The sequence below is a fragment of the Homo sapiens genome, chromosome 1 (assembly GCF_000001405.40).
Source record: "Homo sapiens chromosome 1, GRCh38.p14 Primary Assembly".
In the NCBI taxonomy this organism is placed as follows: Eukaryota; Metazoa; Chordata; class Mammalia; order Primates; family Hominidae; genus Homo; species Homo sapiens.
This window is the reverse complement of record NC_000001.11, coordinates 156,806,132-156,825,783: the sequence shown is the minus strand read 5'-3', so window position 1 is coordinate 156,825,783 and position 19,652 is coordinate 156,806,132. Positions and strand designations below refer to the sequence as shown.

Genomic DNA, 19,652 nt, shown 5'->3' with positions numbered 1-19,652 from the left:
CCATGGCCTACAAGTTCCAAATTGGAAGCCCCAGGTTCAGATTAATGTTCTTATTGTGTGACAGAAGCTAAGTCTCTTGACTATGATCTCAGTTTTCTCACTTGTAAAATGGCACCAGGTAATCCTCAAATAAGGCAAGGCTAGGCCTTGGCAGTTATTTGTCACATAATAACTGAATATACAAGGTAATGATGGGGCCATTGTTAAGGTTTGGACACAAAGGGCAGGATGGTAAAACCTAAAACTCATCAGTTTTGTTCCCTGAAAGCAGACAGTAGGAATAAAAAAGTGAATAACTCTATCTGTATGATCCACCGTGCATATTATTCTTGCTATATTGGACACAGATCTCCTCGGATTCCCTTGATCACCATATTCTTTCCAAAAGCCCCATCCTAGAGCTTGCTATAAAGGACAAGATGTTGCACCCTGCACTTCCTAGCACTAAGAAAAAGGCAAGGCATTTATTTGGCCTCTTTGGATTTTGGAGGCAAGATATGCTGCACTTGAGAATCTCGTTCAACCTAGTTATTGGGTGACCCAGAATTCAAGCAGCCAATTCAAGTGAGTCCCAGGATAAGAGAGGTCCCTACTGGGCCAGGTGCAGTGGCTCATGCCTGTAATCCCACCACTTTGGGAGGCTGAGGCGGGCGGATCACCTGAGGTCGGGAGTTTGAGACCAGCCTGACCAACATGGCAAAACCCCGTCTCTACTAAAAATACAAAATTAGCCGGGCGTGGTGGCGCATGCCTGTAATCCCAGCTACTTGGGAGGCTGAGGCAGGAGAATCGCTTGAACCTGGGAGGCGGAGGTTGCAGTGAGCTGAGAGGCGCCATTGTACTCCAGCCTGGGTGACAAGAGAGAAACTCTGTCTCAAAAAAAAGAAAGGAAGGTCCCTACCGCCGTTCAGGCTGTGGCACAAGCTGCTCTGCCTCCTGGGCCGTGTAACCCAGCATGTCCAGTGGTGTTGGAATCACCATGGTGGATAAAGGATGGAGTCTTTGGTGAGCTCCTAGGGAGAACTGCAGCACACACCCTAGGGTTCCAGAACAACCCTGCCATGTCATCTCTGACAAACATGTCATGCTCTTTCTGACAAAGAATTACACTCTGAAAAATAGTTTTAGTATGCTCTTGAGCCCTAGCAGAGACTAAGTGCCTGACCAATGGGCACCAAGTGACCATTCAGCCTGAGATGGCCATCCTAAGCTGAATGATGGGTCATAAGGTTGGACGTCCAAGGCAGTAATCCATTAGGTGATGGGAGGGATACATTCAAACCAGGCGCAAGCTGGTTCAGAACACATAAGTAAATTGCATGAGCAGGTGGTGGCCCAGACTCCCAAATCACCTGCCTCTATTTTACTGCTTCTTCAATCCACATGTATGTCCTCTGGGCAGGGGTGGGTAGAGGGTCCATATAACCAACTGATAAATGTGCCAGGATGATATGCTGGTGCTAACAGCACTGTGGCTCCACTCGGGAGGTGTCTGAAGGACAACAGTAAAGGAGAACCCTGCCAGGGATCAGAGCTGCAAGCATATAGCTGGTCACTTTGCACTCCCCACTTTGCACATGGGGAGCGATAGTCCAGGGTAAGAATATACACTGACTACAGGGAAGTGGCACCTGGCCTGGCCAGCTGGGCAGGGCTCCGAAAGGAATAAAATGAAAAGACTGGAGAAAAGAAAGTCCAAGAAAGACATTGGGTATGGCAGGGCCAGGACTAGGGAGCATTTGCACAATCCTAAGGATGAGTGCCTCCCTAGGAACCTACTTGCCTCATCCAGGCCCAGCACTGGCAGATGGGCCTATGGAAGTGTGCACACAGGGTGCAGATCTTTGGGACGCAAATTATGCCCACCAAAGAGCATCTATCACTGGGGAGGCAGTGAACAACCCACTGGGCAGGATAATTCATCCCGTAGATGTTAGCCAGCCTTTCCTTTCCGCCACCTGTATGCCCAGTGCTGGCACAATGGCCTGATCAACATAGTGGACTTGGTGGCTTTTCATGGGCTCAAGATCATGGACACCTTCTCACTGAGGTGCAGAGCTACAGCCAAGCGCCAAACTTGCTTGCAACACATTGATACTGAGCCCTATACCTGGTACTATTCCTTAGCAGGGAGAGAAAACATCCAGCCATATGGTAACAGGTTGATGACATCAGACCCCTTCCTCTTTTGAGGGAGCAGTGATGTGTCCTCACCAGAATGATTACAAACTCCAGCAGCACCCTCCATGTGCTTACAGAATGCCTGATCTCTCAGCATGGTATCCCACATCACAGTGCCTCAGACCAAGGAACCCATTTCACAGCAAAGAGGCACAACAACAGGCTCGCGATCACAGGGTGGACTGGTCCTGCCCCATCACCCATAATTAGTCATCTTGGTGGAATGATGGCGTGGCCTGTTGAAGGCTCAGGAAGGCACCATCTGGGGAAAACCCCTTTGTGGAGTTGGAGCCTTCTCCTCCAGGATGGAGCTTGAAACTGAACTGGATGTGGTGGTGTGCGCACAATATTGTACTGTGTCCACTCTGATCAGAATACACAGATCTGGATATCAAGGACTGGAATCAGAAATGGCTCCTCTCACTATTACATCCAGCAACTTATTTGTGAATGCATGCTTCCCTTGACCATCATCTTGGGATCCTCCAGGCTAGAGGTCCTAGTTAACAGACGTAGAAGAATTGTACCAGATGACACAGTAAGAATTCCATTCAACTGGTAGCAGCAACTTCCACCTATTCACTTTGAGATCCTCATGCAGTGGACCAACAGGCAAAGGAAGGAAGTTCCTATACTGGCTGGGATCATCAATTATGGTTACCATGAGGAGCTAAAGTAGCTGCCACACCATGAGTCAGGGAGGAGAATGTCTTGTACCCAGGGACTCTCTGGGACATCTCTGAATAGTTTCATGTGTCTAGTGATGACTGTTAATGGGCTGCTACCACAACCAACAAGGACAGGGCAACTAGGGATCTACACCTTTTAGCAACGAAGGTCTGGATCACCCTACCAGGAAAACAACTCAAACTAGATGAAGGGCTAACTGAAGGTGGAGAATCTGGAATGGAGGAGGGAAATGACGAATATCAATTAGAGCCTCTGGACTAGCTACAAGTAAGAAGGCTATAGCTTTTTTTTTTTTTTTTTTTTCTAATCTTTTAGCCTCGGTCTTTGAGAAAAATACTTTTTTTTTCCTTAGTGATGGGCTCTTGCTCTGTCATCCAGACTGGAGTGCAGTGGTGGGATCACAGCTCACTGCAGCCTCCAACCACTGGGCTCAAGCGATTTTTCCACCTCAGCCTCTCAAGTAGCTGGGACTACAAGTAGCACACCACCATATCTGGCTCTTTTTTTCTTTATTTTTTGTAGAGACAAGGTCTTGCTTTATTACCCAGGCTGTTCTCCAACTCCTGGCTTCAATCGAGAGAAAAACACTCTTGACTACCATCTTGAAGGGGACCCTGTGACTGGCAGGATCTGTAGCTCCCTTCTTAAGGAATAAGTAAGAAACTAGGAATGTCACCGTTTGCACAGAACAAGCTGAAGCCCAAATTATCATCTGGGAGCTGAACATAATGAGAGGGCACAGGGGGTGGACCGTGTTGGACACAAATTGTGTATGTTTCCTTAGATTCTTTTAATTGACTCTTTATTTCCAAAAGGGCTGCCTGCCTCCCAAACCACCACTGCCTCTATCAGAGCCCTTTTTTGTGGCCAGAGCTGCCTGACGTCAAAGCTGTAGTCCTAGGAATGCATGGTCTTCACACCCACATGTTGAGGCTGTCTCTCTGAGTCACCCCTCTATTTCTGATTAAAATCAAACATCACACATGGGCCATGGCATCTGGCTTCCCAAGTAGACATCAAGGTCCAGAGGATGAAACCTCTATGTCGGTTCCTATAGGATAACCTTATCCAGTGGGAAGTGGGAAGCACCAGGGAGTTGGGCAGATAAATCGCTCCTCCTTTCTCCCTTCTGTGGATTACTCCAACGTGTGATTTCACCTTGCACCCTGTCTGAAGAAAGTCCTCCTTGCCAAGTGAAATGCTTACCAAGCAACTGGCCACTGCACTTTGCAGCTCATTTTGAAGTAGCCAATGCAGTAACATTGTTTGCGTCTGTTTTTTGCTGCACTTCTCCTTTCCTCACCACTCTGAGCTTGGTCCCTCTTCTAGAAACACCTTTCCCCACCTTCTTCAATCCTACTCATCCTCTACAACTCAGCTTAATCTCATGTCTTCTGACATCTCAACCCCCTACACATACACACACACACACACACACACACACACACACACACACACAGGCTAAATTAGGGGGCCTCTGAGGGGGGTTCCCGTAGCACCAGCCTACACCACTAACTCACTACAAGCTTTAGTAAGTATCTGTTAGGAAAATGCTGCCAAAGCAATCAGACAAGGGAAAGAAATAAAGGGCATCCAAATTGGAAATCAAACTGGATGTCAAACTATTGCTGTTTGCCAATAATATGCTGGTACACCTAGAAAACCCTAAAGACTCAACCATAAAGATCCTAGATCTGATACATTCAGTAAAGTCTTAGGATACAAAATCCGTGTACACAAGTCAGTAATGCTGCTGTACACCAACAACGACCAACCTAAGAATCAAATCAATAACTCAATCCCTTTTACAACAGCTGCAAAAACAAACAAACAAACAAACAAAAAACTTAGGAATATATTTAACCAAGAAGGTTAAAGATCTCTACCAGGAAAACTACAAGGAACTCTACAAAGAAAACTCTATAAGGAACTCTACAAAGAAAACACTGCTGAAAGAAATCAGAGATGACACAAACAAATGGAAACACAGTCCATCCTCATGGATGGTAAGAATCAATATTGTGAAAATGACCATACTGCCCAAAGCAATCTACAGATTCAATGCAATTTCCAACAAAATACCTTCATCATTCTTCACAGAACTATAAAAAACAATCCTAAAATTCACATGGAACCAAAAAAGAGCCCATATAGCCAAAGCAATACTATGCAAAAAGAACAAATCTGGAGGCATCACATTATCCAACTTCGAATTAAACTACAAGGCTATAGTTATCAAAACTGCATGGTACTGGTATAAAAATAGGCATGTAGACCAATGGAACAGAATAGAGAACCCAGAAATAAAGCCAAATACATACAGCCAATTGATCTTTGACAAAGCATACAAAAACATACATTGGGGGGGCTGGATGTGGTGGCTCACGCCTGTAATCTCAGCACTTTGGGAGGCCAAGGCAGGCAGATGGCTTGAGCCCAGGAGTTCGAGACCAGCCTGGGCAACATGGCAAAACCCCATCTCTACAAAAAGTACAAAAATTAGCCATGTGTGGTGGCGCATGCCTGTAGTCCCAACTACTTGGGAGACTAAGGTGAGAAGATCACTTGAGCCCGGGAGGTTGAGGCTGCAGTGAGCCGAGATCGTGCCACTGCATTACAGCCTTGGTGACAGAGTGAGACCCTGTTTCAAAAAATAAACAAATAAATAGATTGGGGAAGGACACCCTATTCAATAAATGGTGCTGAGTAAACTGGCAAGCCACATGTAGAAGAATGAAACTGGTTCCCCATCTCTCTCCTTATACAAAAATCAACTCAAGATGTATTAAAGACTTAAATCTCAGGGCTGAAACCATAAAAATTCTAGAAGATAACATCCAAAAAACTCTTCTGGACATTGGCTTAGGCAAAGAATTCATGACTAAGACCCCAAAAGCAAATGCAACAAGAACAAAAATAAATAGATGGGGAACTAATTAAACTAAAAAGCTTCTGCATAGCAAAAAAAAGTAATCAGCAGAGTAAACAGACAATCCACAGAGTGGGAGAAAACATTCTCAAGCTGTGCATCCAACAACACCCAGTGCCCAGAATCTCAAGGAACTCAAACAAATCAGGAAGAAAAAAACAAATAGGCCAGGCATGATGGCTCATGCCTGTAATCCCAGCAATTTGGGAGGTCAAAGCGGGTGGATCACCTGAGGTCAGGAGTTCCAGACCAGCCTGACCAACATGGAGAAACCCCATCTCTACTAAAAATACAAAATTAGCCAGGCATGGTGGCGCATGCCTGTAATCCCAGCTACTCAGGAAGCTGAGGCAGGAGAATCTGTTGAACCTGAGAGGCGGAGGTGCAGTGAGCCGAGATTATGCCATTGCACTCCAGCATGGGCAACAAGAGCGAAACTCCATCTAAAAAAATAATAAAAATAAAAATAAAAATAAAAAAATAATAATCCCATCAAAAAGTGAGCAAAGGACATGAATAGACATTTCTCAAAAGAAAGTATACAAACAGCCAACAAACATATGAAAAAATGCTCAACACCACAATCATCAGGGAAATGCAAATTAAAATCACAATGAGATACCACCTTATTTCTGCAAGAATGGCCATAATTAAAAAGTCAAAAAACAATAGATGTGGTGAGGTGCGGTGGCTTATGCCTGTGATCCCAGCACTTTGGGAGCCTGAGGCAGGGGGATCACCTGAGGTCAGGAGTTCGAGACCAGCCTGGCCAACATGGTGAAACCCCATTATTTTCTACTAAAAATACAAAAATTAGCCAGGCATGGTTGGTGCTCACCTGTAGTCCCAGCTACAAGGGAGGTTGAGGCAGGAGAATCACTTGAACCTGGGAGGCAGAGGTTGCAGTGAGCCGAGATAGCGCCATTGCACTCCAGCCTGGGTGACAGAGTGAGACTTCATCTCAAACACGGACACACACACACACACAGACACACAAATAGATGTTGGCATGGATGTGGTGAAAAGGGAACAGTTTTACATTGCTAGTGGGAATGTAAATTAGTAAAACCACTATGAAAAACAGTATGGAGATTCCTTAAAAAAACAAAAGTAGAAATACCATTATTTCCAGCAATCCCACTACTGGGTGTCTATTCAAAGGAAAAGAAGTCATTCTATTAAAAAGACACATGCACACGCATGTTTATAGCAGCACAGTTTGCAATTGCAAAGATATGAAACCAACCTAAGTGCCCATCAACCAATGAGTGGATAAAGAAAATGTGGTATATCTGCATCATGGAATACTACTCAGCCAAAAAAAGAACGAAATAATGTCTTTTGCAGTATCTTGGTTGGAGCTGGAGGCCATTATTCTAAGTGGAGTAACTCAGGAATGGAAAATCAAATATCGTATGTTCTCACTTATTAGTGGGAGCTAAGCTATGAGGACACAAAGGCATGAGAGTGATATAAGGGAATTTGGGGACTTGGGGGGAAGGTTGGGTGAGGAATAAAAGGTTACATATTGGGGACAGTGTACACTGCTTGGGTGCCAGGTGCATTAAAATCTCAGAAATCACCACTAGGTAACTTATCCATGTAGCCAAAACCCAACCGTACCCCAAAAATTATTAAAAATTTAGAGCATGTTTTTAAAAGCAAAAAAACAGTACACAATTTTTTAAAAAACAGTAAGTCTTGGCAAGTCCATCTCCCCCATCTGACATCTTGAAACAAAGTTTTTTTTTTCCTCTCTGGGTTCTCAGTACCAAGAACAGTGCATAGCACATAGTCATGAACCTTTGGCCTAAATCACAGTGAAATTAGTGAAAGGAAGTCTACCTTCTAGTCCCAGCACTCACACCAACTTCTCAGACACTGAAAGACCCTGGCCAAGGCACTCCTCTGAGCTTCTGGTAAATGGGGATAATGTTCCTGTCCCCTTCTTAGTTTGTGAAGATAAATTCAGAGAGAAATGGGATTGGTCCTTTGGTATGGTGGGAAGTCTAAGCACATTGAAAGTTTAAGACATTAACACTGGCCAGTGCAGTGGCTCACGCCTGTAATCCCAACACTTTGGGAGGCCGAGGTGGGTGGATCACTTGACGCCAGGAGTTCAAGACCAGCCTGGCCAACACGGTGAAACCCTGTCTCTACTAAAAATACAAAAATTAGCCAGGCATGGTGGTACAAGCCTGTAATCCCAGCTACTCGGGAGGCTGAGGCACAAGAATCCCTTGAACCTGGGAGGCGGAAGTTGCAGTGAGCTGAGATTGTGCCACTGCAGTCCAGCCTGGGTGACAGAGCTAGACTCTGTCTCAAAAAAAAAAAAAAAAAAGATGTCAACACTGATGTTATTAATGACAACTGCTGATAGTGTTGATACTAATGATGACCTGCTTAGCTGGAGGAATTCTCTTTCCTTCCTCCAATATTGCCTGGTTTTGCCCTAACTCAGCTCCATTATCTGCTGAATGATGGAAGCCAGGCCCCCTCCTCTCTAACCCCTTGTCTTATAGATTTCTTTATTATTATTACTATTATTATTATTATTTTAAAAATAGTGATGGGCTCTCACTATGTTACCCAGGGCTGATCATGAACTCCTGGGCTCAAGCGATTCTCTCGCCTGAGCCTCCCAAAGTACTGGGATTACAAGCATGAGCCACCATGCCCAGACTCATAGATTTCACATGTCCTCAAAAAGTCCTTCCAGAAGTCTGACCCACATCCTTCCTGTTGCAGCCCTGCCCCCTCCCTTCCTCATGTCTCCTCAAAGCATGATCCATAAGCACCTTGTGTGGCTTATCCTTGAGGTTGACATCCCCATTCCCACTGCTCAGAACAGGCCAAGAGGCAGAGTGGGAGATTTTCCAGAGAGAAAGAAATAGAAGCCAAGAGAGATGAGAGAGAGAGAGAGAGAGAGAGAGAGAAAGGGAAGTTCTAGTTTGGGGTGAGGGGGCAGAGAAAGAATCTGGAGGGATGAAGGTCAGGCAGCAGTAAGGGCTTCCTAACACCTAAACACAGAGTGACACAGATACCCCCCACCGCTATACCACCGCTATCTACAGCTGCGTGGCTTCCGGGGGTGGGACAATCGTCTTAAGGCTTTCCATGACGTGAGTCCTCGCCAGAACTAAGGCTGTGGGTAAGGCGACATTTCCTGCCCCCGGGGCCAGGGTGAGAGGAGAGATGATGAGTTGCTGAGTGTGCACACCTTTCCGGAACACATACACACACCCTGCTCTGGGATCCCTTGTGAGGCTGCCCTCATGGAGTTCCCCCTGGCCCAGATATGTCCCCAAGGTAAGTGTGAAGTTGAAGGATATGGGTGGGAGGGGGCACAAAGACCCCCATCCCCCTGCCCTCCCTCCTGGGCTTGAGCTCCCACTTCAGGGATGAGGGGCCCCACCCTAAGCCAGAGCTGGCAAAGCTGATTGGCAGGGTGACCACAACCCTGCCTGGGGCTCCATGCCCACTCATCCCTGAGGATAAAGGTGACAGGGTTTGTTGAGGGCTTCTCAGAGAGGAGAGAGGAGGGAGCAGGAGGATGAAGGGAGAAGGAGGCAGAAGATCCTGGACCAGAAGAAGGGCCTGCCCTGAAGTGATCTGCCTCCCTGACCATCCGAAGGCCAGCCTGACTCCCAGCCTCTCCTTCTAGGCACCTGGTGTCCCTCACAACCTCCTCTGGCAGCATTAGCCCCCCATGCCGCCTTGGCTACTTAACCTCATGCCTGAGAAACTCCCCTGCTGCCCTTCTGCGTTTTTCCTGTCGTTAAGACTGTCCCAGCCCTCCAGATCCCCTGAGCCTGGGAGGAGGGGTGGGAGGCAGAGACAGACATAGTTCCTCTCTGAGAAACCCCGGCAGCCCTCTTTGTGCTCACAGGGAGTCACGAAGCCCCCATCCCAACCTTCAGCACCTTCCAGATCACAGACATGACCCGCAGGAGCTGCCAGAACCTGGGCTACACTGCGGTGAGTGGAAACCTGGGGCGGCAGCGTGGTGCAGCTCCCTCATCTCTCCCACCCTCCCATGGGGAAGGACTTGCAGATGGACAAAGGCCACTCCAAGAGAAGGCAGGAATGATCCGGGTCTGCCAACGGGCTGGGGCACAGAGAGAGAGAACGAAAATGAGGAGTACCTCCTTCATGCGCCGAGTTGCCCACTCACTCCCTTACTGCTCCTAGGCCCTCTGGAAGCTCAGGCTGAGTCCGCAGATGACCAGGGTGCAGTGCATTGAGTCCCAGAAGCAGGCATCTGCACTCTGTGTCAGTGACCATTTGCCCAGTGCATTCCACATTCCCGTCTCAGTCCTTCTCTCCTGCCCAGTCAATAATTTTCCCTGCGAACTAGGTCAGTCCCTCATATTATGAAGTAAGCCCTCCCTCATTCTGGCCTCTAGGGTGACTTCCTGCATCATGTTTCTTCATCCTCCAGGCCAGGGAATGACTCTGTCCATCTGGAAGGCTGTGCTGCCTTTCCCGCCCCTCCTAGAGCACAGTGTGACAGCTCACTGCTGCTGGATTAAAAGCCCTCAGGACCCAGAGGGCAAAGGAAGGAGAGTCTCTGGAAGCCAGAACAGCTGGAGCTGAAGAAGGGATTTAAGTTAGACTTTAGGAAGGACTTTCTGGGCAATTGTACCCTAAAATAGACAGGAGAGGCTGGGTATGAGGAAAAGAAGGTGGCAGGTGGATCAAAGTCAGGAGAAGGCCCACTCATCATGCTGCTTCCCCCTCCTTGAACTCTTCCCTGATCCAGGCATCTCCCCAGGCCCCGGAGGCTGCCTCCAACACAGGGAATGCTGAGAGGGCAGAGGAGGTGCCTGGAGAAGGAAGCCTGTTCCTGCAGGCCGAGACCCGGGCTTGGTTCCAGAAGACCCAGGCCCACTGGCTCCTGCAGCACGGGGCAGCCCCTGCCTGGTTCCATGGCTTCATCACCCGGAGGTGAGTCATGGAGGAGGAAATTGGCCCAGACAGGGGCAGGGCAAGTCCTGGGTCTGGGTCCTGCCACCTGCCAGGAATAGATGAAGGCTCCCACTTCTACCAGTCTGGAGTAGATGGAGGCGCCCACTCCAGGCTCCCACTCCCAGAGTTTTCCTAGCCTTTCACTGAGGCATCTCTCCAGGGGAGATCATTGGAGAGGCTCCAGTCCAGCCCTCTGTGTACCTCAGCTTCCCCTCTCTAGGCCCCATTATCCTCCTGTCCCTAAGGCCTCGAATGCTGGTATTTTCCACCTCTCTCTCCCTCCAGGCTTACTCCATCTTTATCTCCCAGCCCTCTCTTCTTCCACCCTTGCAGAATCTCCCTCCTCCATTTCTCAGCCTCATTTCTCCCTAACTCTTTGTTCACCTCCTCAGTTCAGCTTTGACTTCTGAAATCTGGAAGTCCAACTACTTTCCCATCCCTGTAGCTGCAGTAGCAGCCCCTGCAGGCTGCCCTTTCAGGATGAGGCCAGGGGAGGATGCGGGGGTCTCCTGAATGGGACCCCTGGCCCCTGTCCACGCCTAATCCCTGCAGCGGGAGAGCAGCGCCCACGTGCTCTCTCTCCCCATCTCCGCCCTAGCCTTTCTCTAGCCGCTCCAGCATGCTTGCTTGGGGGTAGGGGTTCCTCGTGAGAGCCGGGGAGACAGAGGCGAGGCTGGAAGTGTCAGAGCAGGGTTCGGCCCCCTCTCTCCGTCACCCACAGGGAGGCAGAGAGGCTGCTGGAGCCCAAGCCTCAGGGGTGCTACTTGGTGCGGTTCAGCGAGAGCGCGGTGACCTTCGTGCTGACTTACAGGTGAGGGGCGAGGCCCCGCGCCGGGCGACACAAGGCGGGGCTCGGGAGGGGCGGGGCTTGGGTCTGATCCCGTGAGGAGCCGGGCTCTTAGCTCATTCCCCGGGCTGCTGAAGGTGGGGATCACGCCTCTCGCTGGTGACCCTGGCCGAGGAGCGGGAGATAGTCTGATCCCTAACGGCGCCCTCCAGGAGCCGGACTTGCTGCCGCCACTTCCTGCTGGCCCAGCTCAGGGACGGGCGCCACGTGGTGCTGGGCGAGGACAGCGCCCACGCGCGGCTGCAGGACCTGCTGCTGCACTACACCGCGCACCCGCTCAGCCCCTACGGGGAGACGCTCACCGAGCCCCTCGCCCGACAGGTACGCGCCCCAGACCCTGACCAGAGAGCCCAGGGTCTCGGGCCAGCGCCCCTCCCGCTCAGAGCCCAGGCGCAGGACGCGGCACCAGGCACTTTCTCATCCCGAAACACCACTCGGGCATGCCTCCCTTACCCAGGCATCTTCATCTTCATGGGAGGGTGGCAGGCCCTTCGAGAAATATGAGTGCTGGGGGACCGTCCTTAAGAGACCAGCCCAGCCACACGGAGTCAGAGGGGCAAGGAGAGGCCAGGGGCACACAGAGTCATTTGGGGTTTTGTTTTTTGTTTTCTTTTGCTTTGTTTTAGACAGAGTCTCGCTCTGTCGCGCAGGCTGGAGTGCAGTGGCGCGATCTTCTCTCCCTGCAAACTCCACCTCCCGGGTTCAAGTGATTCTCCTGCCTCAGCCTCCTGAGTCAGCTTCCCCCCTCTAGGCCCCATTATCCTCCTATCCCTAAGGCCTCGAATGCTGGTATTTTCCACCTGGTATTTTCAGCTTTGACTTCTGAAATCTGGAAGTCCAACTACTTACTTTCCCATCCCTGTTGCTGCAGTAGCAGCCCCTGCAGGCTGCCCTTCCAGGATGAGGCCAGGGGAGGATGCGGGGGTCTCCTGAATGGGACCCCTGAGTAGCTGGGATTACAGGCGTGAGCCACTGCGCCCAGCCTAGTCATTTGTTTTTTAATGTAAGAGATACTTACGGAGTACTTAGGGCCTACCAACTGCTGGCAGGCCCTGAGAACAGACCCATGAACAAGACAGACAGATGGATCTCAAACTCACAAAGCCTACTTTCCAGCAGCAAAAACAGACAAGTAATAGAAATCCAGGGTGGAGACTGTGATTCAAGAAGAAATACAGGGTACCATTTAGCCTAGCAGGCAGCGGTGCACAAGTTCAGGCAGTGCTGAGGGACCACTGTGTGCCACGCAACTTTCTGCGCACTGGAAAAACAGGAGTGAATGTAAATGACCTGAATATCTCTGCCTTCAAGAGCTTCCATTCTAGAAGGAGGAGACAGACGAGTGAGTAATATGGATAACAAGCAAAGAAGACAGAGTCTGTCTAGTAATGATGAGTACACACTGACAAGAAAACCAAAGAGCTCCACCAGCAGCTCCACCTTCCAAGCAGACCCAGCCTCCACCCTCCTCATGCCTCCTGGAGGCACCTGCCTCTGCTACACTGGCCCAGGCTGCCATCATTTCATGTGAAATATTGTTGAAGAGTGACAGGATTGGGGCTGTTCTACACAGGGTGTCAGGGAAGGCCACTCGGGTAAGCGGACATCTGAATAGAGGCCTGTATGAAATAGGAGAAGAGCCATGCAGACAACTGGAGGAAAAGCATTCTCGGCAGCAGGCACAGCAGGTGCAAAGGCCCTGAGGCAGGAGGAGACTTGGTGTGTCTGAGGAATGATGGGAGCAGAGAGGAAGTTAGCATGGGTGGATCCGGTGACTGAGGGATAGAGAGGTAGGAGATGAGATCAGAGGGGTGAGGGAGGGGGGCCCTGTAGACTCTTGTATGCATTTGAAGTTTTATTCTGAGCGAGACGAGGTGGCACTGGAGACTTACAAGCTGAGGGGTGACATGGCCTGGCAAGTTTCGGGAGGAGCAATATTTCACATGAAATGATGGCAGCCTGGGTCAGGGTAGCAGAGGTGGGTGCCTCCAGGAGGCATGAGGAGGGTGGAAGTCTCCTCAGAAGGTGGAGCTGCTGGGTTTTTGTGGGATTGGATGAGGAGTGTGAAAAGATGGACTTGTCATTGACTGAGTTGAGAAAAGTTCTAGGAGGAACACATCCAGGCAGGAGGCAGGTGATCAGGAGTTCTGTTTTCTACACGTGCAGTTCAGCATGGAGATGTCAAGTAGGCAGCTGGAATTCAGAGTCTGGGGACTGGGACAAAGGGATGGGCTGCAGACAAATATTGAGAGTCACCAGCACTTAGATGGACTCTAAAACCTTTAGGAGGGGAGAAATCTCACTCGGAAGTCAGTGTAGGTGGGAAGGAAATGAAGCCCAGGTCTCCAGCATTTAGAGTTTGCAGAAATGAGGGGGAACTGACAAAGAAAACAGAGCAGAGCGCTCAGAAAGAGGAGAAAAGCCAGAAGAGTGTGATGCTCTGGAAGCCAAGCGAAGAAAGTGAGTGAAGGCGGGTGAGGGCAGAGGGTGGAATTGATACTAGGTTTGACAGAGAGGAGGTCATTGGTGACCTAGACAAGAAGAGTTTCACAGAACTTGATTTGGGTCAGTTAAAACAAGTGGGGACAGTGCCTGTGGTCACTGCCTTTTCTGTGAGGAACAGGCAGAGACCTGAGATTCACAGGGCGTAGGGAAGTCTGGGGGTGAGGAGGAGCCAGCCTGACCTGAGAAGCCTGAAGGCAGAGCTGTAGAAGTCTGAGATCACACAGAGTCTTGTCACTCAAGCTCTCAGGAGTCTGACTTATTCTGGGGCAATGGGCTGCCACCCAAGGATTGCTAGGGGAGTTTCTGTAAGATTGCTCTGCTCGAAGACTGGAGAGTGGATTGGAAGGGCAAGACGATGCAGGGGGAGGAGTCAGGAGGCCTGAACTAGGGTGCTGGCCATGTGCATGGAGAAAAGTACTCAGATGTGAACGATATTTAGACAGTGGAAGGAGCAGGACTTGTGTTTGATTTCATGTCAAGAGGGAGGAGGTGGAGGCATCAAGGATGACTCCTAAGGTGCTGTTTCGGCAGCAGGGTGGAGGTGCTACTTTTTATTCCGGAAGGAGATGCTGAGAGAGGAGGGGGTTAGGGCAGGAAAAAGAATTCTTTGATTTCCACAGTATATCTGCAGTACACCTCCCGATGGAGACATGCACTTGGTGGATTGCAGGAGCACAAGAAAAGCCCTGTGACCTTAGCCTACAGTGGCAGCAGGCATGGGGACAGCATTCATGGACCAAGGGCTAACACGGAGCTAAAAGCAGACCCTCTGTGAGACGGAACCATCCCACATGGGGCTCCTCTCTCCTGAGGTGGTCTCTGCCCTTAAAAATGTTAGCTTATGGCCGGGCGCAGTGGCTCACACCTGTAATCCCAGCACTTTGGGAGGCCAAAGTGGCGGATCACCTGAGATCAGGATTTCGAGACCAGCCTGGCCAACGTGGCAAAACTCCATCTCTACTAAAAAATACAAACATTAGCTGGGTGTGGTGGTGGGCGCCTGTAATCTTAGCTACTTGGGAGGCTGAGGCAGGAGAATGTCTTGAACCCAGGAGGCGGAGGTTGCAGTGAGCCGAGATTGCGCCACTGCACTCCAGCCTGGATGACAGAATGAGACTTGGTCTCAAAAAAAAAAAAATAGCTTATATTTCCATAAAGTAACCGGCAGTACAGAAATAAACACAAGCACAGCTGTCATGGAGATTGGTCCCCATGTCAATAATTTTTCAGTTAAAGACGTGTAAAGCCATGTTGCATTTTCAGAACCACAGGCACAAATGGAATCTGGCCTGGCCCTGTGTTCCAGAAGAAATTAAGTTTAATGCAGCCAAGTGTGGTGGCTTACGCCTGTAATCCTAAGACGCAAGAAGGCTGAGGTGGGAGGATCACTTGAACCCAAGAGTTCAAGACCAAGCCTGGGCAACATAGTGAGACCTCATCTCTACAAGAAATGAAAACACAATTAGCCGGTGTGGTGGCACATGCCTGTAGTCCCAGCTACTTGGGAGGCTGAGGCAAGAGGATAGCTTGAGCCCAGGAGGTCAAGGCTGCAGTGAGCTGAGACTGCACCACCACACTTCAGCCTGGGCAACAGAGTGAGACTCTATCTTAAAAAAGAAAAACTTTAATGCTAGATATGGCCTGTGACCAGAGCTTACCACTGCCTCCATCCAACCCTGGGTCTCCCTGCCGTCACCACCCCCTCTTCCTCATCCAGGGAACCCAGCCCAGGCCAAATTTCTGTGCTCCTCCCCCTTCCCCCATCCTCCACTTAGACTGGATTATTTTGTCCTCCTGATCACCTCCCCCACCCCAACGCTCCACCGAGTGCCTCAGACCTCCTTCTTTCCCAGCAGACTCCTGAGCCTGCAGGACTTTCCCTGAGGACCGAAGAATCAAACTTTGGAAGCAAAAGCCAGGACCCAAACCCCCAGTACAGCCCAATCATCAAACAGGGGCAAGCCCCAGTCCCGATGCAGAAAGAGGGGGCCGGGGAGAAGGAGGTATTGGGCTGCAGGGGCTGAGGGAGTGGGAGGACAGGCCTGCGAGGGGGTGCAGGCAGCGGGGAGGAGGAGGGGCCTAGCGGGGGCAGAGGCTCAGGCTGGGAGTTAGGCTGGGGCTTTAACCCTGCCTCCCTCACCCCACTCCTCCCTGGCCTCACCTTCTCTCCCAGCCCTCCCAGCTGCTCAGGCCCAAGCCTCCCATCCCCGCCAAACCTCAGCTGCCCCCAGAAGTCTACACAATCCCTGTTCCACGACACCGCCCGGCCCCACGCCCCAAGCCCTCCAATCCTATCTACAATGAGCCTGATGAACCCATAGCTTTCTATGCCATGGGCCGGGGCAGCCCTGGGGAAGCCCCCAGCAACATCTATGTGGAAGTGGAAGATGAGGGCCTACCCGCCACCCTTGGGCACCCTGTCCTACGGAAGAGCTGGTCCAGGCCTGTCCCAGGAGGCCAGGTAAATGGGTATGCAGGGAAAGGTAGGTGCAAGAAGGTCTCCCTGCAGGTAGATGGGGGAAGGTGAAGAAGGTGTTCAGAGTGGATGCCTGGGGCAGGGTAAGGGGCAGAGGTGTGAGGTGATGTGGGAAGAACAGAATGATCCAGGCACCAGCCTCCCTTCTCCAGGCCCAGAGGCTGCCCCCTCTTCTCCCCAGAGTCGCTCAGACCTCATCTTTGTCAAGCCCCCATGCCCTCCTATCTCACACAGAAAACAGAGGCCCCCAGGCAGGGTGCCCCTCCACCTCCCACATCGAGGCTTTTTTGATCTGCGTCCATCTTGTCCTGCAGGCCCTCTTCAGACGCACCTGGGGCTGACCCCACCCCGTGCCTCTCTGGCTCTCTCCCTTGGCCTTCACGGCCCTGCTGTCCTGGAGAAAAAGAGCACTTGGGTTCCCTTATGTCATCTCAGTGAGCTCAGGGGAGGGGGACCCTGCTCTCCCAGCCTGCTTCTGTGTACTCCCTGTCTCCCTCTTCCTTCTCCCCAGCCCTAAGTCTTCTTGCCTACCCTTCAAGTCAGTACCTCATGCCATGGGTTAGCCCCAGCAGCCATCCCACCCTCTCCCTCGGCCTCTGCGGCCCTCCCAAAGCCCTTCCCCAGCCTCCCTCCTCAGACCCTTCCCCATCCTCCCTCCTTGCTGGTGCCCCAGGCTCCCTGCTCAGCCTGAGCCTGCTCGCGCTCACCCACACCCCTGCCAACGTCTGCTGTCCTAGAGCTAACGTCACCTGTCCATATCTCCGTCCAAACTTTTTTCCAAGCTTCTGGTCAGTTCCCCCCAGCATCCCTGAGCCCCTCAAACTCAACACGGCCAACAGCGCTCTCACCCTTGCCCTCCAAACAGCTCGGTCCCATGTTCACTGTCCTGATTGCTAACTCTCCAGCTACCCAGCTAGCCAAGCCAGAATCCCAGGGCTCCCTCAGCACAGCTCCCTCTTTACTCCCCCAGTAAGCCACTCATTCCTGCTGGATCTCTTCCTAAGTATATTTTTCCTTCCCCCAGCTCCAGCCCCCATCATTGGGGTCTGGCTTTGTCACCCAGGCTGGAGTGCAGTGGCACAATCATAGCTCACTGCAAACTTGAACTCCTGGGTGCAAGTGATCCTCCCACCTCAGCTGAGATTACAGGCTCGAGCCACCTCACCTGGCTCCCAAGAGCTTCTTAACTGGTTTCCTAACCACCATTCTTGCCACTTCTGATCCACTCTGCACCAAAGAGCCAGAATGGTCTTGCTGAAGCAGCTGCCTGGCCCATGAAGCACTCTAGACTTGGGTTGGGTGGGGGGTCTCACCTCCTTAGCCTTACCACCAGCCACTCCCATTCTCCTAGAATGATTCACATTTCTCTAAACTCACCAAGTGGTTTCAAGCCTCCTGGGGTTTGCACCCGCCAGTATCTCTGCCTATAGCAACTTCCTGCAACCTCATCCTCCCGCTGCCTGGCAACTTTCTAATCATCCTTCAAGACCAGCTTTCCCTTCTCAGAGGCCACCCCCTGTGCCTTACACACACCTGCCATGCCACTGATCACCTGAGACATCCATCTCCTCCCATCTCCTTCTCTCTGTCCCTTCCCTAGTTTAGAGTGTGAGTTCCCTGAAGGGAGGGGCTGGGACTTACCCATCTGTTTCCAAAGCACCCAGCCCAGTGCCTGGCACAGAGCAGGTGCTCAGGAGATGTTTGTTGAATTAATGAATGAGAGGAGTTTAGATACCCTCTCTGGAAGCCAAAGTCTGTTCAGATCAGATGTCTTGAGACTGCAAGTACACCTAGGAGGCAGAGGGTAGAGGGTGTGACCTAGAACTGTCCTTCTCTCTGCAGAATACAGGTGGCTCCCAGCTGCATTCTGAGAACTCTGTGATTGGGCAAGGCCCTCCCCTGCCCCACCAGCCCCCACCCGCCTGGAGACACACCCTCCCCCACAATCTTTCTAGACAGGTGCTTCAGGACAGAGGACAGGCATGGCTTCCCCTTGGGCCTCCTCAGTAGGCGGTAAGTCTGAGCTTGGTGAGGATAACTTGGAGCATCAGGTCCAGAGACCTTCACACACACCTGGCACACTTCTCAAGAAATGTGGATGGAATAAACCATAGGTGTTCAAAGCTGGAAAGGAGCTCAGCCATCATCTATTGCAAGGATGGCAAAGAGGTGTCATCTTGCATGCCAACTCCAATCCATTGGTCGTGGCTGCCTAGAGTGCTGCATTGGAAAGGATGTTAAGGTCATATCTGAACTCAGCAGAAAAAAAGCACATGATTGATTAGTGATGTCTGCCACGGGTAAGAGCGGGAGGATGAGCAGCATTACATTTGTCCTTAGTGATCAAATTCAGCTCCCTCACTATGCGGAGAAGAAAACATAGCCTGAGAGGGACAGTGACTTGGCCAAGGTCAAGGACTAGAACCAGGCTTCCTGATTCCCTGTTTAGTGCTTTGTTCCTTACCACACATCCACAAACTCAAGTCCATAGGAAACATCAGAGATTTCCTCAAACAGGAAGTCTGGCCACTTTCCAGAGTTCTACTGCATGGAGGCCTGGGTGCTTCATTGGTCCCCTCCTGTGGATCCTGGCTTAACTCTGTCCCCCTGACAGGTCTGGCCTGACCCCCAACAAAGAAGCCTGGAGGTCAGAGAAGCAAATGCGGAGCCTGCTCCCTCCTAAGAAGATCCCAAGAATCCAATGGCTCAGTCCTTGGTGATCTAAGACAGCAAAGAAGTGTGCAAGGAGGGCCCTGTTAGCTCCCACTGTCCTGGTTTCTCCTCCTGGAGTCTAATTTCCTTGGCCCTCTGAGCCTTTTGAGTCTGGGCCCTGGTCCAATGCTGCTGTTGTCTGAGGAATGGTTTGGTGAGAACAGATGTTAGAACTTGTTTGTTGATTCTTGTCTGGCTAATAAATCATCACCAACTGCCTTCTCCTACAGGGATTCAAGTCCTCCAGGCTCCTTCTGTTTCTGTCTCTGACTTTCTCTCTCTCATACTGTGGAAGGCAAGGAGTTGAACTGCCACTGCAGTGAGGGTGGAGGGGCTTGAGGATT

General features: G+C 50.8%; 2 protein-coding genes across 13 annotated transcripts in view, besides 3 other annotated features; one reads left to right on the top strand and one right to left on the bottom strand.

The window, feature by feature from the left end:
* The window catches only part of NTRK1 (neurotrophic receptor tyrosine kinase 1), a 66,101-nt gene extending 56,067 nt beyond the window's left edge, over window positions 1–10,034 (bottom strand). The window contains exon 1 of the mRNA NM_001007792.1: window positions 9,946–10,034. Coding sequence (NP_001007793.1) covers window positions 9,946–9,954 — 9 coding nt within the window. The 5' untranslated portion in view covers window positions 9,955–10,034. The remainder of the gene's footprint in view (window positions 1–9,945) is intronic.
* On the top strand, window positions 8,936–19,541 carry SH2D2A (SH2 domain containing 2A). Of its 12 annotated transcripts, none has more exons than XM_047433655.1 (9): window positions 8,936–9,109; window positions 9,721–9,778; window positions 10,575–10,747; window positions 11,490–11,579; window positions 11,768–11,936; window positions 15,977–16,123; window positions 16,294–16,581; window positions 18,439–18,609; window positions 19,211–19,541. In XM_047433655.1, exons 1-8 carry the CDS (start codon window positions 9,099–9,101, stop codon window positions 18,604–18,606), a joined length of 1,104 nt encoding a protein of 367 aa, XP_047289611.1. In that variant the 5' UTR covers window positions 8,936–9,098; the 3' UTR covers window positions 18,607–18,609; window positions 19,211–19,541. The 12 variants fall into 12 exon arrangements, with proteins under 12 accessions (XP_047289611.1, XP_016858255.1, NP_001154914.1 ...); XM_017002766.2 differs by having other exon boundaries at window positions 11,460–11,579; NM_001161442.2 differs by having other exon boundaries at window positions 10,563–10,747.
* Window positions 11,472–11,571: a silencer, noted in NCBI's record as "silent region_1438". NCBI's record gives its function as "represses an Ori minimal core promoter by ATAC-STARR-seq in GM12878 lymphoblastoid cells {active_cell/tissue: GM12878}" and the evidence as "EXISTENCE:reporter gene assay evidence [ECO:0000049][PMID:35858748]".
* Window positions 11,854–12,400: an enhancer, noted in NCBI's record as "H3K27ac-H3K4me1 hESC enhancer chr1:156783176-156783722 (GRCh37/hg19 assembly coordinates)". NCBI's record gives its function as "activates a minimal SCP1, AML or CMV promoter by ChIP-STARR-seq in primed H9 embryonic stem cells {active_cell/tissue: H9 hESC(primed)}" and the evidence as "EXISTENCE:reporter gene assay evidence [ECO:0000049][PMID:30033119]".
* Window positions 16,288–16,789: an enhancer, noted in NCBI's record as "H3K4me1 hESC enhancer chr1:156778787-156779288 (GRCh37/hg19 assembly coordinates)". NCBI's record gives its function as "activates a minimal SCP1, AML or CMV promoter by ChIP-STARR-seq in primed H9 embryonic stem cells {active_cell/tissue: H9 hESC(primed)}" and the evidence as "EXISTENCE:reporter gene assay evidence [ECO:0000049][PMID:30033119]".

Coding starts and splice junctions, on each gene's coding strand:
- SH2D2A (XM_017002762.3), top strand. CDS start 9,076: ATGGAGTTCCCCCTGGCCCAGATATGTCCCCAAG. Junction 11,580..11,767: donor ACCTTCGTGCTGACTTACAG/GTGAGGGGCGAG, acceptor GGCGCCCTCCAG/GAGCCGGACTTGCTGCCGCC. Junction 16,124..16,293: donor AGGGGGCCGGGGAGAAGGAG/GTATTGGGCTGC, acceptor CTTCTCTCCCAG/CCCTCCCAGCTGCTCAGGCC.